The sequence below is a fragment of the Homo sapiens genome, chromosome 6 (genome assembly GCF_000001405.40).
Source record: "Homo sapiens chromosome 6, GRCh38.p14 Primary Assembly".
NCBI classification, from domain to species: Eukaryota; Metazoa; Chordata; class Mammalia; order Primates; family Hominidae; genus Homo; species Homo sapiens.
The window spans coordinates 53,079,718-53,102,212 of NC_000006.12; the positions used below are offsets into that span (position 1 = coordinate 53,079,718).

Consider the following 22,495-nt stretch of genomic DNA (forward strand, 5'->3'; position numbering starts at 1 on the left):
GAAATATTATATTAGCTATTATATTAATATATTCCCTCTGTCATGAAATAATTGTCACCTTTATTGATAACATATGCTTATTGCCAATGTTTTTTAACTGCATATGGTATTAACACTTAAGCTTTGGATAAGTCATATTAAAAACATTCCCAACAAGGTCAATATTAATAGCCTGTTTAAATTTTCAGCTAATAATATTGTTCACCAAATTAGAGTTAACAGTATGAGGTAGTTCATACTTAAAATGAATCACTTGGGTTTTTTCTAAACCTTCTTTAAATTTGGGTAGAGTCGTTTAGACTCAGCTCTTAGCCAGTTTTATAAATATGTGCCAGATGCTGTTAAGAAAGATTGTATTAAAATATTAAAGAGGCATTTCTTTTCTTTCCCATTTTTTATACAAACCCAGACGCTATGAAAGTTCTTTAAGGATTCATCTTTTTTTTTTAAATAAGATCTGATAAGCCCTAAAAGTTTGCCTTTTTTTTTCTTTCCTGTAACATGTTTGTAGAATAGCCATTGAGTCCATCTAGCCTCAACCACACTTATATTTTGTTGTATTACAAAATGCCCTTCCTGGTTTTTTTTTTTGTTTTTTTGTTTTTTTTAAGTCTACATCACTTGAAACTTCCTGGTTTTCTAACTTCGCCTTCATCCAATCCTCTTTGTAAGTCTGATCATCTTTAAGGTTTACTTCAGTAAAAATAGAAAGCTCATTTTTCTAGCACCATTCACTACACATTTGTGTATACTGGTAGATGATTTGTGAACCCTAAGATGTTTTCAAAGTAGGTATTTTCCTCTCTAAAGGTAGGCTGATAAGGCAAATCTGTTAGAAAACCCTTGGTAAGTAAGTACCTCAGATGACGTCTGTAGATTTGGTTTTTATCCAGTTAGAATAAATTAAGGTTAAAGAACATACTACGTTAAGATTTTTGAAACCATTTGAAAGCTTGCAGTAACTCATAAAATCTCTACTTTACAATAAAATTAGTTAAATCTCAACACCTGTATCCAAAAATTCTAATTCTTTCTGGATGATAATTACTGAAGCTTTTTTCTTTGAAAAACTTGATACAGTATTCCTTTGCAAGACAGGATAAATTCATCACATTTAAAAATGTATCACATGTTGAATAAGCTTTAGGTGACTTTTTGTAAAGCAAATTTGAAAATGCTATGAAAAATCAGTTTCTAAACTGTACGCTTGTAGACTGAGGCACTTAATTTATTCACCTCCCTTTTTTCAGCATTGAAGATAATGATGATGACAGCAAAATGGCAGATCTCTTGTCCTACTTCCAGCAGCAACTCACATTTCAGGAGTCTGTGCTTAAACTGTGTCAGCCTGAGCTTGAGAGCAGTCAGATTCACATATCAGGTGTGAATACTTGTTTTTCATAACTCAGTGAGAAATATCTTAACCTTAAAGATTTCCAAATTTATAAGGTCAGATAATTTGCCAGATAACTGCTGCTTTAGTTCAGAATATGGTGGAAGATCTAGTTATAATTATCATTTGCATATACTATTAAGCTGTTTTGTGTTTTGTTTTGTCTTGTTTTGTTTTTTGAAATGGAGACGTGCCCTGTCACCCAGGCTGGAGTGCAGTGGTGCAATCTCGGCTCACTGCAACCTCTGCCTCCTGGGTTCAAGCAATTCTGCTGCCTCAGCCTCCCAAGTGGCTGGGATTACAGGCGTGTGCCACCACACCCAGCTAAATTTTTGTATCTTCAGTAAAGACAGAGTTTCACCATGTTGGCCAGGCTGGTCTCGAACTCCTGACTTCATGATCTGCCCACCTTGGCCTCCCAAAGTGCTGGGATTACAGGCCTCTGAGGCACTGCGCCCAGCCCAGTAGTAAGCTGCTTTACAATCTGAAGCAGAACAGTTTGTAGTGCTGTTGTTTAAGGATGCCATACCTTTTTCAGTAAAGATCTAACAGGGTAAGTCTGAGTTGTTGAGGTAGCCCTAAGAAAACTGGAGGAATACTGGTATCATGAAGCATTTCAGCCATGTTGGACAATTGTCCTGAGACAGACTGAATGTTTAGGAATTAATGGATTTTTGTTCGGGCATGGTGGCTCACGCCTGCAATCTCAGCATTTTGGGAGGCTGAGTTGGGAGGATCACTTGAGGCCAGGAGTTCAAGATAAGCCTGGCCAACATGGTGAAACCCCACCTCTACTAAAAATACAAAAATTAGCTGGGCGTCGTGGCGCATGACTGTAGTCCCACCTACTTGGGAGGCTGAGGCACGAGAATTACTTGAACCCAGGAGGCAGAGGCTGCAGTGAGCTGAGATTGTATCACTGCACTCCAGCCTGGGCAACAGAGCAAGAACCTGTCACAAAAAAAAAAGAAATTCATGTATTTTTAATATGTTAAATATTGTTTGGTTCGGGGCTTTTTCAGAGGAGGACAATTAAAAGTTTTCAAGGAGATGAAAATAACTTTAGTGTTAATAGATGCAATATGGATCACACACACATAGATTATTTTCCTAAAACATTTATTTTAATATGTCTGGCAAAATAATCTTATGAGGGAAAAGAGTGCTTTATAAAAAGTAGCTTCAGATCTATACTGAAAAAACAAAGATATTTATGTCTTGATGTTAAGAACCATTATTATTATTGAGTAGCTAAATACATTCATGCTTTAGCTCTGAGCAATACAGAGGGTGTGATTATAAATTTCTAGGAAGGTATAAATGTACTGGGAATGTAGTTGTGACAATAGAATGACATAGAGGAGAGTCACTGAAGGATGATTTTCTTTTGCAGTGCTGCCAATGGAGGTCCTGATGTACATCTTCCGATGGGTGGTGTCTAGTGACTTGGACCTCAGATCATTGGAGCAGTTGTCGCTGGTGTGCAGAGGATTCTACATCTGTGCCAGGTACTAAGTTTTTGTTTTTGTTTTTTAAACAACTGAGGCAATGGTGAAAAGAAAGATGGTCCTTTGCCAATCCTGATAAAATTACTTGATTGGTGTTCTGAGTTAAAGCTTAGAATAAACAAGTTTTGCTAAGCTGTACTTAACTTTCTCAAATAACTTAGAATTTAAAGGCTAGAATATGCTAGGTTTCTAGGGTATAGAATAATATGTAGGACAGATGTAGTAACCCATACTACTACCATAGAGTTTACATGCTAGCTTAACTGATTTGGGAAAAAGAGTTATATTAGAAAAATATATTCAAGTCATTTTTACACTAACTGTAAACTCATTGTGGTAATGGTTTAGATTAAAACAGCACTAGCATTTTCTTATGGCTCATTAAAAGTTATTCTATATTTTGAAAATTTTGCTATGTGTGGGAAAGGACTCTATTCAATAAATGGTGCTGAGATAAGCGGCTAGCCATGTGCAGAAGATGGAAACTGGATCCTTTCCTTACACGACACACAAAAATCAAATCAAGATGGATTAAAGACTTAAATGTAAAACCTAAAACTATATACTTAGTCCTTATATAGAATTTTTAAAAACAACTTGTTCTTAAAATTCAGATGCATTATTTTTAAATTAATTCCATTTGGAATCTTGTAGTTTTCATAAAATATTTGAATTTCTTGAAGACTCTTTTTCACAATTCTGTGTGCTAGTATATTTAACAAGTACCTATTAAACACCTAGTGGATTGCCACTAGAGTCTCTAGCACTGTTATGTCAACCTAAATAATAAGCAGATAGACTCTCTAAAAGACATTTATTTGAGAATAATACATTGCAATGGGAATACACATGCCATAGTAAACTATTCAGGGAAACAAAAGTTTTTAAAGGAAAAAATGAGGATTACATAATTGTTTTGAAATACTTAATCCTTGACTACAAAGATCAGTAACAAGGGGGACGCCAGTCTGAGATTGGACAGACAGTTTCTTGGGCAGATGTCCTTGCAGCAAAAATATTTTTTGTATAAGGCTGTGATGGCCTTTGTGCAGAGCTGTGTTTTTTATAGTCTTTTTTGTTAACCAGTCATAGAAGCCTGAGAACCTTCTCTTCATGGCCTTCCTCAGCTCTCTTTGTCAGGGTTTTCTTAACATTAGTGGCTCCATTTTTATTTTAACAACTTTCACATTTTCCCCTTTTGATCAGTATCTTTCTCTGATCAGTCATCCTGTAGTTAGGTTTTGACATCCCATAGTACCAGCATAGACCAGTCCTGGTTTCTAGTCTCATCCCATGTTGGGGAGAATGATTAGCAACTAGGAGTCCGTGTCAAAATGCTTTTAAGCCACATTTGGGCAAGAAGGGACGTCTGAAGGGAATGACTCTCAGGCTGTGTCTACCTGGATTCCATTATTAAGTTTGATTTTTGTCTATTCCATAGTCTTTGTTACTCAAAATGCTGGGCCAGCGTTATTGTTAGGTGTGGTACTTCTGCAGAAATTTAACAAGTAACAAAGTTAATAGTAATATGACAATTCCAATTTGCATAATGGTTTTGAGCCATGAACCTAGGCTTAAGAACAACTAATTGAGTAGACCAGTGACCACAGGGAATTAGGTGAGACCATGTAATCATGCTACCTGTTTTCTTATTTTGTGTACATGGGTCTCAACTTTATCAGAGGGATTTATCTAGGTACAGCATGTAGTACTAGCAATAGCACAGATATTTTCTTTTTTAACCAATGAATACTAAAGGATTTCTTGGGTTAGGTTCTGTTAAGTTACCAGCAGAAGCTATTGATTATGAAATTTCAATTACACCATTATCCTGTCAAGTGAAAAAAGTAGCATTAAGTGGGGGTAAAAGTCTTATGATATGGTTCTGATGTCATGGGAAAAGCTGTCTACAGCTTTCACAAAAACATCAGATTCTCCTCCTGATTTATGTTTGAATGTCTCTGGTCATGATATTGTTGTGTGGCTCATATATCAGGCATGAGACTTGTTTCTTAAAATTTGAATAGTTTCAGCTTAAAGGGCTTTACGAACAGAAGCTTTTGTTTTTAGTTGGCGTGTTGTAGTCCAATCCTGGAGGAAACTAGGAGAATTCATCAAACAGTCCGGTGTACGTGTGGATAACAACAGGTGTATTGCAGTTTTTTTTTTAAGAAACGTTTTTTTCCTACATTGATCATATAGGAATTTCAGATTTAAAAATCTCTTGAGGCTAGGAAGTCAAAGAGAGGTAGACTTTAGGCTTCACTTAGGGTCTTAAGGTTCTTGGGCCTGCTAGGAAGTGACAGGTTTTACTCACGATAAGGCTGAGAACTCTTAAAGCCGGATGTTTTATGCACATTCTTAAATATGACATTTTCAGTCAAAGCCTTGGTAATATAACTAATGTTTCTAATTGTATCCTCATATAAAGGGATTAGATTTTTATTGAACTTATATAAATAAAAATAATATGAATAGTTTCTGAATTTTGGAGAAATCAAGTAGGGAGAAAAAGCAAATGGTTCCACCTTGGTTCACAAAAGTCTTCTAACGTCATAAAGACATTCTCTTCATCATTTACATCAATTTTATGTAATTTTTTATTATGCTTGATCTTTATTAGCAGTTCAATGAACCCATGAATTTATTAGAGTTCTGGAAATTTTTATTTAGTCCATTGATCTTAAAGTTAGCAAAAATCTTTGTTCAAGAGTACTGCTAGAGTCTTTTCCATAAACAGCAGTTTTGGACTGTAGCTGATTGCAAATGTTTTTAGAGAATTCAAAATAATAATTGTGATGACAAAAACTTAGAATAGCCATGTAAAATCTGATGAAAGTTCTCAGTTGATGAGGGAATTTAGTTATTTCTAGTACATGTAGCATTTTAAGATAACCAGAATCATGACTGACACTGTCACATCAGGACTATCAGACTTTTATATAAATTTCATCTAGTCTTTAGAATACTCACATTAATAACATCTATACAAATATAACTTTAGAAAATATTTGACATAATAGAAATTTATAACTAATAGCATACTAGATTTTTATGAGTTTACATAGTTTTGGAACATTTATATCAATAATATACCCATAAATGTAACTGAAAGAGGATCTAATACTTATTATTTAACAGTGCCTCCCATACAGTTTACCAAGTGAGGTTAATCATTTGATATATCTACAGGATGAGAGATACGTTCTTTGAGGCTTTCCAGGAGCCCAACTAGAAAATCCCAAAGTTGGCTGGGTGTGGTGGCTCACGCCTGTAATCCCAGCACTTTGGGAGGATGAGGCGGGTGGATTACCTGAGGCCAGGAGTTCGAGAGCAGCCTGACCAACATGGAGAAACCCCGTCGCTACTAAAAATACAAAATTAGCCGGGCGTGGTGGCTCATGCCTATAATCCCAGATACTTGGGAGGCTGAGGCAGGAGAATCGCTTGAACCCGGTAGGCGGAGGTTGCGGTGAGCTAAGATCGCACCATTGCGCTCCAGCCTGAGCAACAAGAGTGAAACTACATCTCAAAAAAAAAGAAAAAGAAAATCTCAAAGTTAATTTTAGATTGGAAAGCCTTAATTTAGGATCTTGACTCTGGGGAAACCTGCCAGAGATGTCAAAGGTTCAAAACATTTGATCAAAACAAAATTGCTGGCCACTGTGAAGTTACTTATTTAACCATACTGATAATCAAAAGATCTTAAAAGCAATGCAGAAAGTTACATGGATGTAAAAGCCTTAATCCTTTTAAAGCTCAGTTTTCGTAAGTAACCAAAAACCTAATAAAGCACAGGCGTTATATTGATAAAACAATAAATTTTTTTTTTAGGCCAGTTGCCAAAAAGATAAAGAAATACCTTTTATAGGGTATTTGCTTCTCCATGTGGGAAACCTGTTTAGATAACTTGTAAGTTAAACCTGATTAAAAGGGTACTTGAATTTACTTAGGGACAGGAAGTATCCAGGGTTATATGTCTACATTAGAGAGGAATATAAACAAGAAAACTAGTAACTTGAGCAGGAGAATACATGGCTCTTAAATAGCATAGGAAGTTTCCTGGTTACATGGAGTAATTCAGATGTCACATAAAGCCAAGAGTACAGAATCAAGTTATATTGGAGGAAAACATTGCTCTTCTAGACCTTTAAACTAAACATTTCAGGCCGGACATGGTCACTCATGCCTGTAATCCCAGCATTTTGGGAGGCCAAGGTAGGAGGATTGCTTGAGGTCAGGAGTTCAAGACCAGCCTGGACAACATCTCTACTAAAAAAGCAAAAAAATTAGCTGGGTGTGGTGGTGCACGCCTAGCTACTTGGGAGGCTAAGGCAGGAAGATGGCTGAAGCCTGGCTGCAGTGAGCTATGATCATGCCACACCAGCCTGAGTGATGGAATGAGACCCTGTCTCAAAAACAACAACAACAACAACAACAAACACAGGTGCAGTGCCTCACACCTATAATCCTAGCACTTTGGGAGGCTGATGTGGATTGATGGGTTGGACCCAGGAGTTCGAGACCAGCCTGAGCAACATGACGAAACCCCGTCTCTATGATAAAATAGAAAAATTAGTTGGACGTAGTGTGTGTACCTGTGGTCCCAGCTACTCAGGAGGCTGAGGCAGGAGGATCACCCGAGCCCAGGAGTTCAAGGCCATAATAAACCGTGATCATGCCACTGCACTCCAGCCAAGATGACAGAGTAAGATCCTATCTCAAAAAAAAAAAAAAAAAAAAAAGAGATAAACATTTCAGTGTCAGGCTATTAACAGCAGAGCTAGAACTGGAGGGAAAAAATTAAGAGGAGTTGACAAAAAGGTTGAAAGAGAGAGTTATCACCCTAGCCAAGCAAAAAGATACACTCTTTCAAGGGGAGAGAGAACAGAAGGCAATGGTGTATGACCTGCAAATCATGTGCAGGAGTGGTACAGCAAAAGTTGAACTTCTGATATAAATCTGAGAAGCTTCAGAAAGAAAAATTTTACCTTGAGAAGTGAAATTACCATTCTGAGTGAAAAAGACAGCATTTCCAACCTGGAACTAGGGAAATTAATTAGATCCCAGGAAGAAATAGAAACTGTAGTTTTGCAGATGGCTGTTCAACAGATTTTAGAATTTAAAATCAAAACCTCTTATAGTTTTATTAATACTAAGAGCAAATTAATACTTTAAGAAAACTTCATTGTTCTAACAGAGGACCAAGTTTTTTAGTTTTGTATTAGTGTATTTCTTATAGCAAAGCTCAATCTTTAGAAAGACTTATAAACAATTCTCTTCAATTATAGCCAACTTGACCACACACAAAATCTTTTATGAACCTTATCACAACTTATATTGATGACATGCTTGGACTTTCTGCTCTGTTGTATACCTTCCTCTTTCTTAACCAGTCATTTTACTTTAGGACAAAAATCTACCATACAAGATTCTTTTTTATACAAAATTATTCTCTTTTTCATCTTTTTTTAACCAAAAATATATCCTTGTAACTTTCTTCACATCTCTGTCTCCTACTTACTGATTTGTTTCTTATGCCATATTTTGAAATAAACTTTAAATAACTTCCAAATTACACAAAATTCTTCATTATTTAATCTTGGTTCACATGTCATAAGCAGTGAGTTTTATCTCAACATGAATGGAAAAGTCAGCAGATTCAAAGTGTGAAGAAAAAAAATAGAGAACTTAGACTATATATATTCTATAGTTGCAGGTTTTTGAATGATGATAATTTGAGCTGTAAATTTTTCTTGATGTAATTTTGCCCATCAGTTTAAAAATGTGCACAACAATAGGCTATAAGATGTAGTCAGCTGGAATCCCAGAAAACCTGGCATGTTTTAACATTTGAGAATCCCATTCTGTTTCTTACTACTCTCTCCAGAGGAAAGAAAATTCTGCAAATCCTGTCAGAGAAAGTCAGGAGTTTAGACCTGTGTTTTAGGTGGTGGTGACTGACCTAGTGGTTTGTCTTTTTTTTTTTTTTTCCTTTTGAGGACAGTCTCACTCTGTCGCCCAGGCTGCAGTACAGTGGCACGATCTTGGCTAATTGCAACCTCCGCCTTGCGGGTTCAGGCGATTCTCCTGCCTCAGTCTCCCGAGTAGCCGAGATTACAGGCATGCACCACCACCGCCTGGCTAATTTTTGTATTTCTAGTAGAGACGGGGTTTCACCATTTTGGCTGGCCTGGCCTCTAACTCCCAACCGCAGGTGATCCGCCCACCTCAGTCTCCTAAAGTGCAGGAATTACAGGCGTGAGCCACCGCACCTGGCCCTAGTGGTTTTTTTCTTTCTTTCTTTGTTTTTTTTTTTTTGAGACAGAGTCTCGCTCTGTCGCCCAGGCTGGAGTGCAGTGGCGCAATCTCGGCTCACTGCAAGCTCCGCCTCTGGGTTCACACCATTCTCCTGCCTCAGCCTCTGTAGCCCTAGTGGGGTTTTTTTTTGTTTGTTTTTGTTTTTTTTTTTCCAGGCGGAGTGTCGCTCTGCCGCCCAGGCTGCAGGTGCAGTGGTGCCATCTTGGCTCACTGCAAGCTCTGCCTCCCGGGTTCACACCATTCTCCTGCCTCAGCCTCCCCAGTAGCTGGGACTACAGGCGCCCGCCACCAGGCCCGGCTAATTTTTTGTATTTTTTAGTAGAGATGGGGTTTCACCATGTTAGCCAGGATGGTCTCGATCTCCTGACCTCGTGATCCGCCTGCCTCGGCCTCCCAAAGTGCTGGGATTACAGACGTGAGCCACCGTGCCCGGCCAGCCCTAGTGGTTTTTAATTAGCCATCTTCTGCCCACCATTCAGAATCTTTATTTTTGCTTATGGAAGATTTTCAGAAGAAGCAAGGGAAAAGAGTCAAACCAAATCAAAAACCAAAATAAGAACATTCACAAATATTTTATCCCAGGCATGCAGATCAAACAAAATATTAAACTGAATGCACAGACCAAATCAAAAGTAAATTCACCAGAAGACGTGAACAGAATGTAAATGCTGTAGAAACCAAGAATACCCAATCTAAAAAGACACTTTTCTTTACACCAGAAAGGACTTACCAGGAAAGACAAAAAGTTTATCATCTCAAAAGGGATGTATGGTCCTTTATTAAGGTGACCTTATCCAAACCAGATCCCAAATGATATCAAGAAGCCTCTACCAAAAGGAAGGAGGCTCAGCCTGAAAGAAGATTCACCAGGGCAGAAAAGGCAAGCCGTGGAAGTAGAGTGCTCAGAGCACTCAAGTAAGTACTGCACACTGGTTCCAAGAATCTCTGATTCCTTCAGTTAATGATCTTTTCAGATCCCGCTTCTGACACTTCTGTATTTCAACCTAAATAACAAATGCCCAAAAGTTATTTGGGATTAGAGCATCACAATGGGAATACACATGCCATAGTAAACCATGTGCTTATTCAGGGAGGTAAAGGCAGGCAGGTTTTTAAAGGAAAAAATGAGGATTACATAATTGTTTTGGAAATAATTATCCTTGGCTACAAAGATCATTAACAAGGGTAATGCCAGTTCAAGTTTGCACAGGCAGTTTGCTGGGCAGATGTCCTTGTAGAAGTATTTTTTGTATAAGGTTTAATGGCCTTTGTGCAGGGTTGTGTTTTTTGTAGTCTTTTTTGTTATCAGGCATACAAGCATGAGAACCTTATTTTCATGGCCTTTCCCAGCTCTGTCAGGATTTTCTTCACATTCATGATTTAATTTTGATTTTGACAACTTTCATAGTTATTCCATTAACTTGTAATTGTATGTGAGAAAATACTATAAAGAAGGAATTGGGCTGGTCTGAGTGCAGTGGTCGTTTACATCTAATTGATCACAACCAGTTACAGATTTCTTTGTTCCTTCCCCACTCCCACTGCTTAATTTGCCTAGCTTAAAAACAAAAACAAAGAAAGAAAGAATTGGTTAAGCAAATATTCAGGAATAAAACTTCATGTGTCATCATAAAAGTAACTTTAAAAGCAAACATTTTAAATATACATTTTAACATAAGTTTGAGGGGACTTATCTTTTTCAATCTGACACCGATCTAAATAGTTTTTGCTTCATTTACTTATTTATGAATGAATGAACAAGACAAGGTCTTGTTCTGTCGCCCAGGCTGGAGTGCACTGACACCATCATGGCTCACTGCAGCCTCAAACTCCTGGCCTCAAGCCACCCTCTTGCCTCAGCCTCCTGAGTAACTGGAACTACAGGCATGTGTCACCATGCCTGGTTAATTTTTTTTTTCATTTTGTATTTTTGCCTAGTTAATTAAAAAAAATTTTTTTAAGAGACAGGGTCTTGCTATATTGCCCAGGCTAGTTTTTACATCTTTAAAACTGAATACTTAGCTGGGTGTGGTGGTGCACATGCCTGTAGTCCTAGCTGTTCAAAAGGTTAAGGCAGGAAGATTATTTGAGCCTAGGAGTTCTGGGCTCTAGTGCACTATGCTGACTGGGTGTCCACATTAAGTTCAGCATCAGTGTAGTAAACTCCAAGGAGCTGGGAGCCACCAGGTTACCCAGGGAGGGGTGAACTAGCCCAGGTTAGAAATGGAGCAGGTCAAAACTCCCATGCTGATCAGTAGTGGGATCATACCTGTGAATAGTCTCTGCACTCCAGCGTGGACAACATAGTGAGACCTCATCACTTTAAGAAAAACAAACCCTGAATATTTTAAGTTAGAGATGGAGTTAGAAATACTTTTAGTTATAGCAGAATCATGTCAATTTTTAGTACATCTTTTACTTAGCTTTTTGCACACTTTTTTTTTTTTGAGACGGAGTCTCGCCCTGTCCCCTAGGCTGGAGTGCAGTGGCACAGTCTTGGCTCGCCGCAACCTCCGTCTCCCAGGTTCAAGCAATTCTCCTGCCTCGGCCTCCTGAGTAGCTGGGACTATAGGCACCCACCACCATGCACAGCTAATTTTTGTATTTTTAGTAGAGACAGGGTTTCACTATGTTGGCCAGGCTGGTCTCGACCTCCTGACCTCGTGATCTGCCTGCCTTGGCCTCCCAAAGTGCTGGGATTACAGGCGTGAGCCACCATGCCCAGCCCCTGCACTAATTTTTTAAACAAAGTCCTGTTGGTGCTCCCTTCAAAATTTATCTCCAGTCTGACCATTTTACCACTTCTGCAACAACCCTTCTGACTCAGCCACTGTTCTGTTTGGTTTGGGTTACATAGTGGCATCCTACCTGGTCTTCCTGTTTCCACTCTTATACCACTAGACCATATTCTCCATAAACCACCAGAGTGATCTTTTAAAATAAAAGCATAAATTATGTTCAAAACCCTCCAGTGGCATCCATCTCATGTAAATAACCACTCCTTCCTACAAGATGCCACCTCACCTGCCCCGACTGCCTCATCATAGTTTCCTCTGCACAATGCCCACTTTGCCACAGCTGTGTGCTCCTGCTGGCTCTTGGATGAGCCCACCAGTCACACTTCTGCCTGAGGGCCTTGCACATGCTCTGGTTGCTGCCTGAGATACTTATCCCCATCACTATGATCACCTTCCCAGAGAGGCATTTCCTGGCCTCCCTATTTCCTCACCACCATCATTTCTGTCTGCTGACTCTACTTTGTCTGTTGGTTGATTTTTGCACTAAGCGTACTACCAGAAGCTTTCCTCTCAATTTGCTTTCCCACAGTAAAAGAGCAGGGCCTTTGCCTTGTCCATTAGTTTCTCCTCAGAACAGTGCCTCCCAGGTGTTCAACAAATACTTGCTAAATAAAAGATGGCTGATAGCAAAAATATTTATGTCTATGTATAGGGACTTAGTTTTTATTGACATTGTGCTTTTATTCCCTAGAGACCCTGAAATATGGCGTCTGGCCTGCTTGAAAGTTTGGGGCAGAAGCTGTATTAAACTTGTTCCGTACACGTCCTGGAGAGAGATGTTTTTAGAACGGCCTCGTGTTCGGTTTGATGGTAAGTTGGATTCTGTAGAACTCAGCAGAAATACTGATCTATAATGCTGATTTTTATAAATACGCCGTTTAAATTTTCTGTGATGAATGTGAGTACTGTAAGCATGTTTAAAGGAAACCACAGTAAATATAATGCTGGGAATATCTGAATATTATAATTTTTAACTTTTTAAAATTATTTTCATAGGCGTGTATATCAGTAAAACCACATATATTCGTCAAGGGGAACAGTCTCTTGATGGTTTCTATAGAGCCTGGCACCAAGTGGAATATTACAGGTACAACTGTAGTACACTGAGTGAGTGGAAAATTCTCTCTCTCCATGTATTAGTTAAATGGACATCTGTTCTTTGTTGCTTTTGATTGACCCGCAAAATGGCCCTCAGTATTTTTATCTAGTACTCAATGTAGGAATTGCACTAAAAAAAAAAATAGGCTAATATAAATTACAGAATTTCTTCTGGCCTCTTTTAGATTTCTTCTTGTCTTTTGCCCTGGGTGTATTTACTTGCCTTTTCAAATAGCTTGTGCTTTTATTCCACCTTATTGCTTGCCAAATATTATTGTCATTTAGAAAAAAATAGACATGTTAACCGTTGTGTGTGGCTCTCACTTTGTTTGAAATTGTTGCTTTGGGAAAAACACAGAACTTTAATAAAACAATATTTGACTTTTATTCAGTGAGTAAAACTTAAAAGTTCAACAGTTTCCCCTGAGGAAGATAAAATATCTTTGGTTCTTTGTTGCTGGACTAACAGGTAGTCAGTAATATTTGTTTTAATGTTTTAGCAGTTCTTTAGCCCGTGGTATTTCAGTGTTGGTTTCATAGCTATGAATAGGCATAGGTACTAATAGATAAGGACATATTTTATACTTTGTGTGGGGGGTGTGTTTTGGTCTTCCTTTTCTTATTACATAGGTACATAAGATTCTTTCCTGATGGCCATGTGATGATGTTGACAACCCCTGAAGAGCCTCAGTCCATTGTTCCACGTTTAAGAACTAGGAATACCAGGTAGCATTTGTTTTTTAAATGGCTTTCCATCCAGTCTATGTTTTATATGGTTCCTTGCAGGTTAAAGTAATCCAGTGCTTCTTTCACTTAATACTGGATGATTTTAAAAGCAATCATTCAGGGTCTTAGGAAAAATACCAATTTCTGGGCTTTTCCTTAGAAAATCTACTTCAGCAGGTCTTTGGAGCCTTGGAATTGAGTTTTACTCAATCCTAGCTGATTCTTTTCAAGCAAGAGTAAACACTGTTGTAATTTGTTACTTCTTAGATTACTTAAATCCACTTAATAACTGATTTAGATTCAATTTGTTTTTTTTTTTTAAGGACTGATGCAATTCTACTGGGTCACTATCGCTTGTCACAAGACACAGACAATCAGACCAAAGTATTTGCTGTAATAACTAAGAAAAAAGAAGAAGTGAGTATACGAGGTGTAATTAATAGTTTTCTTATCTTAATAGCCTATTCATCCAAGCAGTCTCGATTAGAACAACAACAAAAAAAACCCTTTCTGATTATTTATACTGTTATATAAAATGTATATTAACTTCTAGCAATCACTGAAGAAAGCTGGAGAGTTTTCTAAAATGTTGTTATTTTTTATTGGATCAGCTTTTTTGTTTTTTACCAGATAGTTTGTTTTTTATATATGAAAATGTAAAGCTGAAATCTCTTGTGAAATAACTAGTAAAATTATACCTGAATATGTTTTTGGCTCTGCTCATGTCGAATCACAGGGGATTTTTTTTCCTAAATTAGCTCATATAGATAATTCTTTCCATAAGGATATTGTTAGAACTTCAGTTTCTACTGGAAATAACCTAACTTCAGATAATTTTCTTCTTCCTGTTCTTAAAAAAGGAAAAAAATGCCAAGCAAATATGATTACTGACATTATTACATTCTAGAGTGCTTTAAATTGTCCTAACAGATTGGTAGCCTAATTTTTTCACCTTTCTCCATATGCACGTTTTCAATCCTGGTTAAAAATTGTTATATGTACCCAAGAAGCCAGTTGTATGGTATTTGGAATAAATATTAATATTTACTTGTTGCCTTTATAATTAATACAGCTTTTGAAGGATATTTCTCTTGTATGAAATTCCCCCTTCTCTAACATCATATGTCCAGACAGGGCAGAGTTTCATCTGCGAGTCCTATCACCTTGTGGCCACCTGTTGCTGGCGTCTCCACTTCCCTCTGATGGGCTCCTGGAGCCTGGGCAGCAGCAGCCTGAGAGACAGAGAGAGTTGCTTTGACTGTGACTGCAGGTTTCCTGAGGTCAAAATTGGGAATTTGGAAGGCCTTAGTTGCTCAGGTTTTATCTAATTAAAAGAGTTTAGGAACTCCCATGTAGAATGTCAATTTTCTCTTCAGAATATGATGAAATATTCATAGTGTTTACATTTTTTTGTTTTTAGCAGCAGTATTTGCAGAAGTGTAATTCTAATGAACCTTGTCACAGCTGTTTGCTCATTTATTTTACTGTTATTGCAAAAGATAAGTTATACTCTGTGCTTTTTCAGCATCCTTCACCAATTTATCACTTTCCCTCTTAAAAAATGTCCAAGTGTTTTCCAGTAGAAGGAAATACTAGGCTTAGAGATAGGAGATAATAATTTTACATCCCATCTATGTAATGTTGGTTACATAGTAGTTTTACCTCCCTGGATCTTCATTTTTTAAGCTAGTAAATAGAAATAATGCAATCATATTTAACACATGAGGTTATTATGATGATTAACTGAGATGATGATGATGGGGAAAAAAATCTGATATTTTTAGAGTATTTAACAGTTTTTAAAGCACTCATACATTCTTGTGATAGTCAAAACGACTCTTTACTGCATGCAAATATTATGTTACTTTTAGTGTCACTGTTGCATACTATTTCTGTAAACATAGAAGTGAGGTAAGGTTTCATTATAACTTATGCATCTTTTCTTTTGCAGAAACCACTTGACTATAAATACAGATATTTTCGTCGTGTCCCTGTACAAGAAGCAGATCAGAGTTTTCATGTGGGGCTACAGCTATGTTCCAGTGGTCACCAGAGGTTCAACAAACTCATCTGGATACATCATTCTTGTCACATTACTTACAAGTAGGTGAATGCAATAAAAATAACAAGGTTACACTATAAATGTATACTTCGTATCCAGCTTAAGAATTTCAGATATGTTTCTAATTTCTCAGAGTTAACACTACATTACAAACTAAAACCAGTACTACTACAAACTACTACAAACCAAGAAAATGGCCCAAACGAAAAAGACTAAGCATGCTTGAGGAAGCAGAGCATCTGGAACACTCATATAGTACCCATTGGAATGTGAATTGGTACCACCACCACTTTGGAAATGAAAGTAGCATTCCATGGGAAGAATGGTACTTAGTCAGCTGTGAGCTGTCCATGTATGACTTAAAGCCATTTTAAAATACCAGATCATTTTTCTTTTCCCACAGTTACCATTTTTTGCTTTATTTCCATTTGTTTTATCCTCAGGGATTATACACTGATTTAATAAAATTGTAGTTAGGAAAGTAAGTCTACTAAAAAAATAAGAGGTATTCCAAAGCCAAATTTGTTAGGTGATTCCTATTTAAAACTCTTTGTTCTATGCAGTAGCATTTACCTGTACATCATAATCAGTGAACTGAAGAGGGGAGGTATGAGAAAGGAGCCATACAGAAATATATAAAACTTAAAAAGGAACCAGGGAAGTGAAATATCAAGTCCTGTGGCAATTAAGGTTAGCTCTTGTTCAATTTGAAAGAATATTGGTACATGACTGAAGGCTCTTCGTTCTGCTTGAATCTAAAATTCCGAGAGAGAAGTTTTGAGGTCAGCTTCCATTGCCTCTTTGCAACCTTAACCACATTGTTGAAAACTGTGTCACATTTCCACTTTACCGATAACTTTTCCCTGCTCATTTGGAAGGTCCTGACAACAGAACGTTTTTCTTTCTCATCTTTGCCTACAAATTCTACTATATCTCCTTTTTGCTTCTCTCTCTAATGCTGTGGGATTTTTTTTTTCTACTTTTCAAAGAAAGAAACCTGAGCAGGTGTGGAGGCTTATGCCTATAATCCCAGGACTTTGGGGGGCCAAGGCAAGAGGATCACTTGAGGCCAAGAGTTTGAGACCAGCCTGGGCAAAACTGGGTGACCCCATCTCTACAAAAAATAAAAATATTTGCCGGGCATGGTGGTATGCATCTTGAAGTCCCAGCTAATTTGGAGGTTGAGGTGGGAATATCATTTGAGCCCAGGAGTTCAAGGCTGCGGTGAGCTATGATCACACCACTGCACTCCAGCCTCGGTGATAGAGCAAGACCTTGTATCAAAAAGAAAAAAAGAAACCAAACCCTGAAGTAGAGCCAAGCAAATGAACAATGGATGGTTATAGTTTATACTTGACCCATTAGAAAAACATTGTTTATTTAGGAGAAAAAAGGACATTACCAGAGGCATTATTTGTAGCTGCTAATTATCACATTGACTTCCTTGTAATATTTATAAAATCACTTGAATTCTCTGCTTTCGTTTGTCTCTCTCAGTGGTAGCATAACTTACCACCTACTTTCCCTCCCCCCTGCCTATAATTATGCTGTTGATCATGCAATTATTAAATAATCAAATTATATTCTAGGAATATAGTTATTTCTGAAACATTTTAAGAAGAACCTAATGTCTATAGCTTCTGACTTAAAAATTCTATCTTAGGAATCTCTGAAGGACATCAAAATCACATAATTTTTAATTGAGAAATAGTAGACACAACCTAAATCTCCAATTAAGTAAACTGTGGTACAAGCAGACAGTGAAATATCATCCTGCCACTAAAAATGGTTTCTGAAAAATAATGATGTGGGAAAATACAAATAATTAAATGAAATAAAAAGAATTACTAAGTTTGATCTCAAGAAACACTAGAAAATATCCTTCATATGGCTCTGAGTGTTGGAATTGTGGTGATGTTTCTGTATACATTTCTAAATTTTTCGAGTTTTCTACAATATGCCTATATTATATAGAATTTCCTAAGATGAATTAAAAATAAAAAAGGCTAAAGCATAGAATAACCTTCCCCAAACACACAAGGATTTTAAATGAATTGAAATTTCCTCATACTAGTAATTTTGTGCTTTTTTTTTACAGATCAACTGGTGAGACTGCAGTCAGTGCTTTTGAGATTGACAAGATGTACACCCCCTTGTTCTTCGCCAGAGTAAGGAGCTACACAGCTTTCTCAGAAAGGCCTCTGTAGAGCCTCAAGTCCAGTCCTCTATCACTTTTGCATGAATTAAAGTATATAGCGCAAAAGAGCACCTAAGTTATAAATGTGTGTGTGTGCGTGTGTGTGTATATATATATATATATATATATATATATATATATATATATATATATATGGAATTGGAACTTATTTTAAATTGTTGGAGTTCTTTTAAGAAGAATATAAATTGATTATTTTTTTTATTTAAAGGGATAGTTGATTCCTGGGGTGTTTTGAAATTAAGTTGGAATTAAGTTGCTTAAGCATATTTATGTTGTGAGAAACCTTAATATGAGGTTTATCATGCCCTTTTTCAAGCAGATTTATGAGCAGATTTCTGTCACATAAGTCGTCTTCTGCTTGAGTATCCTAATATTTCAATGCATCAGGGGAGCGCTCCACTGGATAAGCATTTTATTTCCCGCATGGCATAATGTTTTTGCACTAAAGGCTCAAAGTGTGAGAACCTGTTCTGGATTTGTTTGAAATTATTTCACCAATAAAGATCATAAATAAATGTTTCTTTCAAGAAAATATATTTGGATGGCCTTTTTAAAGTAACAGGATATTTAATAAGAGTCCTAGATAGCCAGCGGAGACTTTAAGAATCATTGCCTCTAGCTGGGTGTGGTGGCATGCACCTGTAGTCCCAGCTATTTGGGAGGCTGATGCAGGAGAATAGCTTAAGCCCAGGAATTTGAGTCTGGGAGTTTGAGTCCAGCATGGGCAACATAACAAGACCCCATCCCTTATTAAAAGAAAAAAAAATAATTCCTCATTTCATCATTGGTCTTTATATGTAGCCACAAACACTGACCTCATGTAGGCACCTTACCAATATATGACATTAAGTGAGAGTGAATCCCTTAGGACTGGAACACTTCAAGCTCAACCAACTGACTCAGTTGTCATTCTTCACAAAAGAATAGTAGAGGATCATGTAAACCTGAGCCTAACTCTTGTTCCAGTATGAAAGTTGGGGGAGAGCACCAGCCACCTAGGAAAACTGTATGTTACCTTTTTACTCAAAGGAGTCCCCCCTGCCCAGTAACAGTCCTATTAGTGTTTAATTTCAGAGTTTGTGTCTGGTAGACCTCTACCTGATTCAGATTTGGTTTTGTTGTTTCAACCATAGTTAGAGACAAATTCTCATGTACTTTCAGAAATCAATATCTGCAGCCACTGTTACTTTTAATTGACATTAAGAGACACTTCATAGGTTCCCACAATTCAGTATGGGATAGGCTTTTTAAAAAGCACATACAGACCAGGCGTGGTGGCTCATGCCTATAATCCCAGCACTTTGGGAGGCTAAGACAGGCAGATCACCTGAGCTCAGGAGTCCAAGACCAGCCTGGGCAACATGGCAAAACACCGTCTCTACAAAAAAAAAAAAAAAAAAAATTAGCCAAGTACAGTGGGGCACACCTATAGTCGCAGCTACTTGGGAGGCTGGGGCAGGAGAATTGCCTGAGCCTGGGAAGTGGAAGTTGCAGTGAGCCAAGATCGTGCCATTCCACTCCAGCCTGAGCAACACAGTGAGACCCTATCTCAAAAAAATAATGATGATAGTACACGTTATGTTAAAGGTGAAATGTGCATACAGAAGGAAGAGAGTTGGCCAGGTGTGGTGACTCACACCTATAATCCCAATACTTTGGGAGGCCAAGGCAGGAGGATTGCTTGAGGTCAGGAGTTTTAGACCAGCCTGGACAACATAGCAAGACCTCATCTCTTCTAAAAATTAAAAAAAAAAAAAATAGGCATGGTGGTACACACCTGTGGTCCCAGCTAGTTGGGAGGCTAAGGCAGGAGGATCACTTAGCCAGGAGGCTGAGGCTACAGTGAGCCAAGATTGCACCACTGTGCTCCAGCCTGGGTGAGAAAGCGAGACCCTGTCTCAAAAAAGAAAAAAAAGAGAGGTTGGCCTTTTGTAGCAATCTGAGAAGTGTGTTTTTCAAGTTGGAAAGGAAGGAGAAAAGCAACTTGCCTAAGATAAGGTAGCTCTTCATGATATGACTGTTATTTCTGATATACAAATAAATAGAACATGATTAGGACATAGTCAAATATAGCTAGAAAAATATATTCCTAAGGAAAGTGAGATTTGAGGAGTCCCTGTTGTTCTGCAACATCCCTAGATTGAATGATCTGTTGCAGATGGTGGATACCAAGTTCAAATTTAAAGATTTCTTTGTAAGCAGTAAAGTGACTTTCACTTATTTAACTTAGAACTGGAAAAAGTAACTTTTTTCCAGATTACATTTTCTGTATATTTGTAAAATGCAAAAGCAATATATATTTGTTGTGAGAAAATTAGAATATACAGATAAAATAAAATTTAAAAAAACACCCAAAGATAACCAGAAGAAAATTTTTGCTATGTAACCTTTTTCTTCTGGTCTTTGCAAATCCTGCCGTAGAAACTTTTTAACTTCAGGAGTGTCCTTCCTTTGCTCTATTAGGACATTACAGAAACCAATACTATGAAAAGCTGACAGCAGTATCTGGATTAACTTTTTAAAAACAATGAAAGCATTTTACAGAAATTACATTTCAGATCGTGCTGGAACTGTGTTCAGAAGATATCCTCAGAGGGAATCTGGCCTGAGCACCATCATGTTTAATTGCCTCCTCCTGTCTTGCATTTTCCTCCCAGCCCCCTTCCTACCCCTTAGCAGAGGGCCAGGTGAGGGTGCTTGGGGCCCATGGGGGCTGGGAGTGTAGACTTCAGTTACACCCCCAGCCCCCAGGGGAAAGCATTAGCCTTGAATCCTCAATCCCAGGCCCTCTACTAACCACTCTCAACCTATGGTATTTATCTTTTGATTATTCTGTGCATCTATAAAAATGGGATTATATTGTACAGAATGCTTTGTAAGCTTTCTCTCCCCACATAAGAATGCCCTGTAAGCATTTTGTTAAATATTTTTAATGACTTTAGAGTCCAACTTTATACTCCTCTTTACGCATTTTGGTTTTCTAATTTAATGGTAGTGTAAACGTTTTTGGAATAAACATTCCTGTGGCTAAATCTTTGCATACTTCTTGTATTATTACTTTAAGATGTTTCTAAGAAGTAGAATGACTGAATCAAAGAGTGAACATTTTAAAATATCTTAAAATATACATTTGGTAAATAATGTATACACTGTAGAAAAACTGGAAAATAGATGAGCAGACAGAATAAAATGTAAATTACCTGTAGTCACCTCATCCATTATTCACTTTTTGATTTTAATCATCCTGGCCTTTCACATGTATGTGTGATTTTTCAGTCATACAGTGAAACACTTCCAGTTCTGTCTCCTTTATCTGATGCTTTCATGCTCTGGATCTTAAAACCTGGCCAGTCATTTCCCCAGTGATGGATGCTGAGTGTCAGCAACAGCTCTAGGTAAGTTGGCAACCATGACATGTATGGGCTAAGGCTTGCAAGGCTTCTCTGGCCACACAGAATCCAATTGCAGTCAGAGCAGAAACAGAAGCCAAGGCGATGCAGTGGGATCCCAGTTTCACAGTGACCATCCATTGGTCACTGTGACCAGTCACGATAGCCTCCACATCCAAAAAGTGATTTCAGTCTTTGGTTATGTATAGTGAACAACACCTGCACATTTATCTCCACTGTCTCCTGAAACTCCACTAAAATAGTAGTAAAGAAATAGGGCTGGGTGTGGTGGCTCATGCCTGTAATCCCAGCACTTTGGGAGGCTGAGACCAGGGGATCACTTGAGTGAGGGCAACATAGGGAGTTTGAGGGTAACATAGGGAGACCACTGTCTTTCAAAAAAAAAAAAAAAAAAAGAAAAGACTTAAGTCCTTCAAGACAGGGAGGACAGGAGAGGTGCTGAAAGCAGACAGGACAGGTTAGAATTTGGAAAATAGAAAGCAGGTGGGCAAGTGGTAAAGTGGCATTAAGCATGGGCTGTGTGTTGAAGTGCTAGATCCACGACTGAGTTCGAGCAAGTTAGTTAACTCTCCATGTCATGATAAATTAGAGGAAATATTATCATAATACCTACCCACAGAGTTGAAAGGAGTAACAGATAACACTCCACGTTAATTGCATAGGACAATGCCTGACTGAGTTGGTGCTCAGTAAATAGCAGCCATTATATGTATTATAACTGTTGCTGTTCCAGAGAGATCTGAGACCTCAGCCAGAAGCAGGGGAAGCTAAAAAGTGCAAATCAACTCAACTGGCCTCCCATGGAAGGTAAGGTACCACATGGAAACAGCAAGACCCTGCGGGAAGTATCCCCAGCCAACTCCCAGAACTCAAGTTGTCAGGCTCACACCATCAGGCAGGAAAGTGGAGGCTTCCCCTCTAGGAAAAGACCCCTTCCCACAAAAAAAAGACCTACGGATAC

General features: G+C 37.9%; 1 protein-coding gene and 1 pseudogene across 3 annotated transcripts in view; both read left to right on the forward strand.

Moving 5' to 3' along the window:
* Positions 1–21,156, forward strand: part of FBXO9 (F-box protein 9) — a 35,876-nt gene extending 14,720 nt beyond the window's left edge. For all 3 annotated transcript variants that reach the window (NM_033481.3, NM_033480.3, NM_012347.4), the window contains 8 exons: positions 1,251–1,381; positions 2,787–2,901; positions 12,712–12,830; positions 13,017–13,107; positions 13,749–13,844; positions 14,168–14,261; positions 15,796–15,947; positions 18,005–21,156. In NM_033481.3, the coding sequence (NP_258442.2) occupies positions 1,251–1,381; positions 2,787–2,901; positions 12,712–12,830; positions 13,017–13,107; positions 13,749–13,844; positions 14,168–14,261; positions 15,796–15,947; positions 18,005–18,113 (907 nt within the window). In that variant the 3' untranslated portion in view covers positions 18,114–21,156. The remainder of the gene's footprint in view (positions 1–1,250; positions 1,382–2,786; positions 2,902–12,711; positions 12,831–13,016; positions 13,108–13,748; positions 13,845–14,167; positions 14,262–15,795; positions 15,948–18,004) is intronic.
* Positions 11,244–11,540, forward strand: RN7SL244P (RNA, 7SL, cytoplasmic 244, pseudogene; annotated as a pseudogene).
* Positions 21,157–22,495: the final 1,339 nt, after the last annotated feature.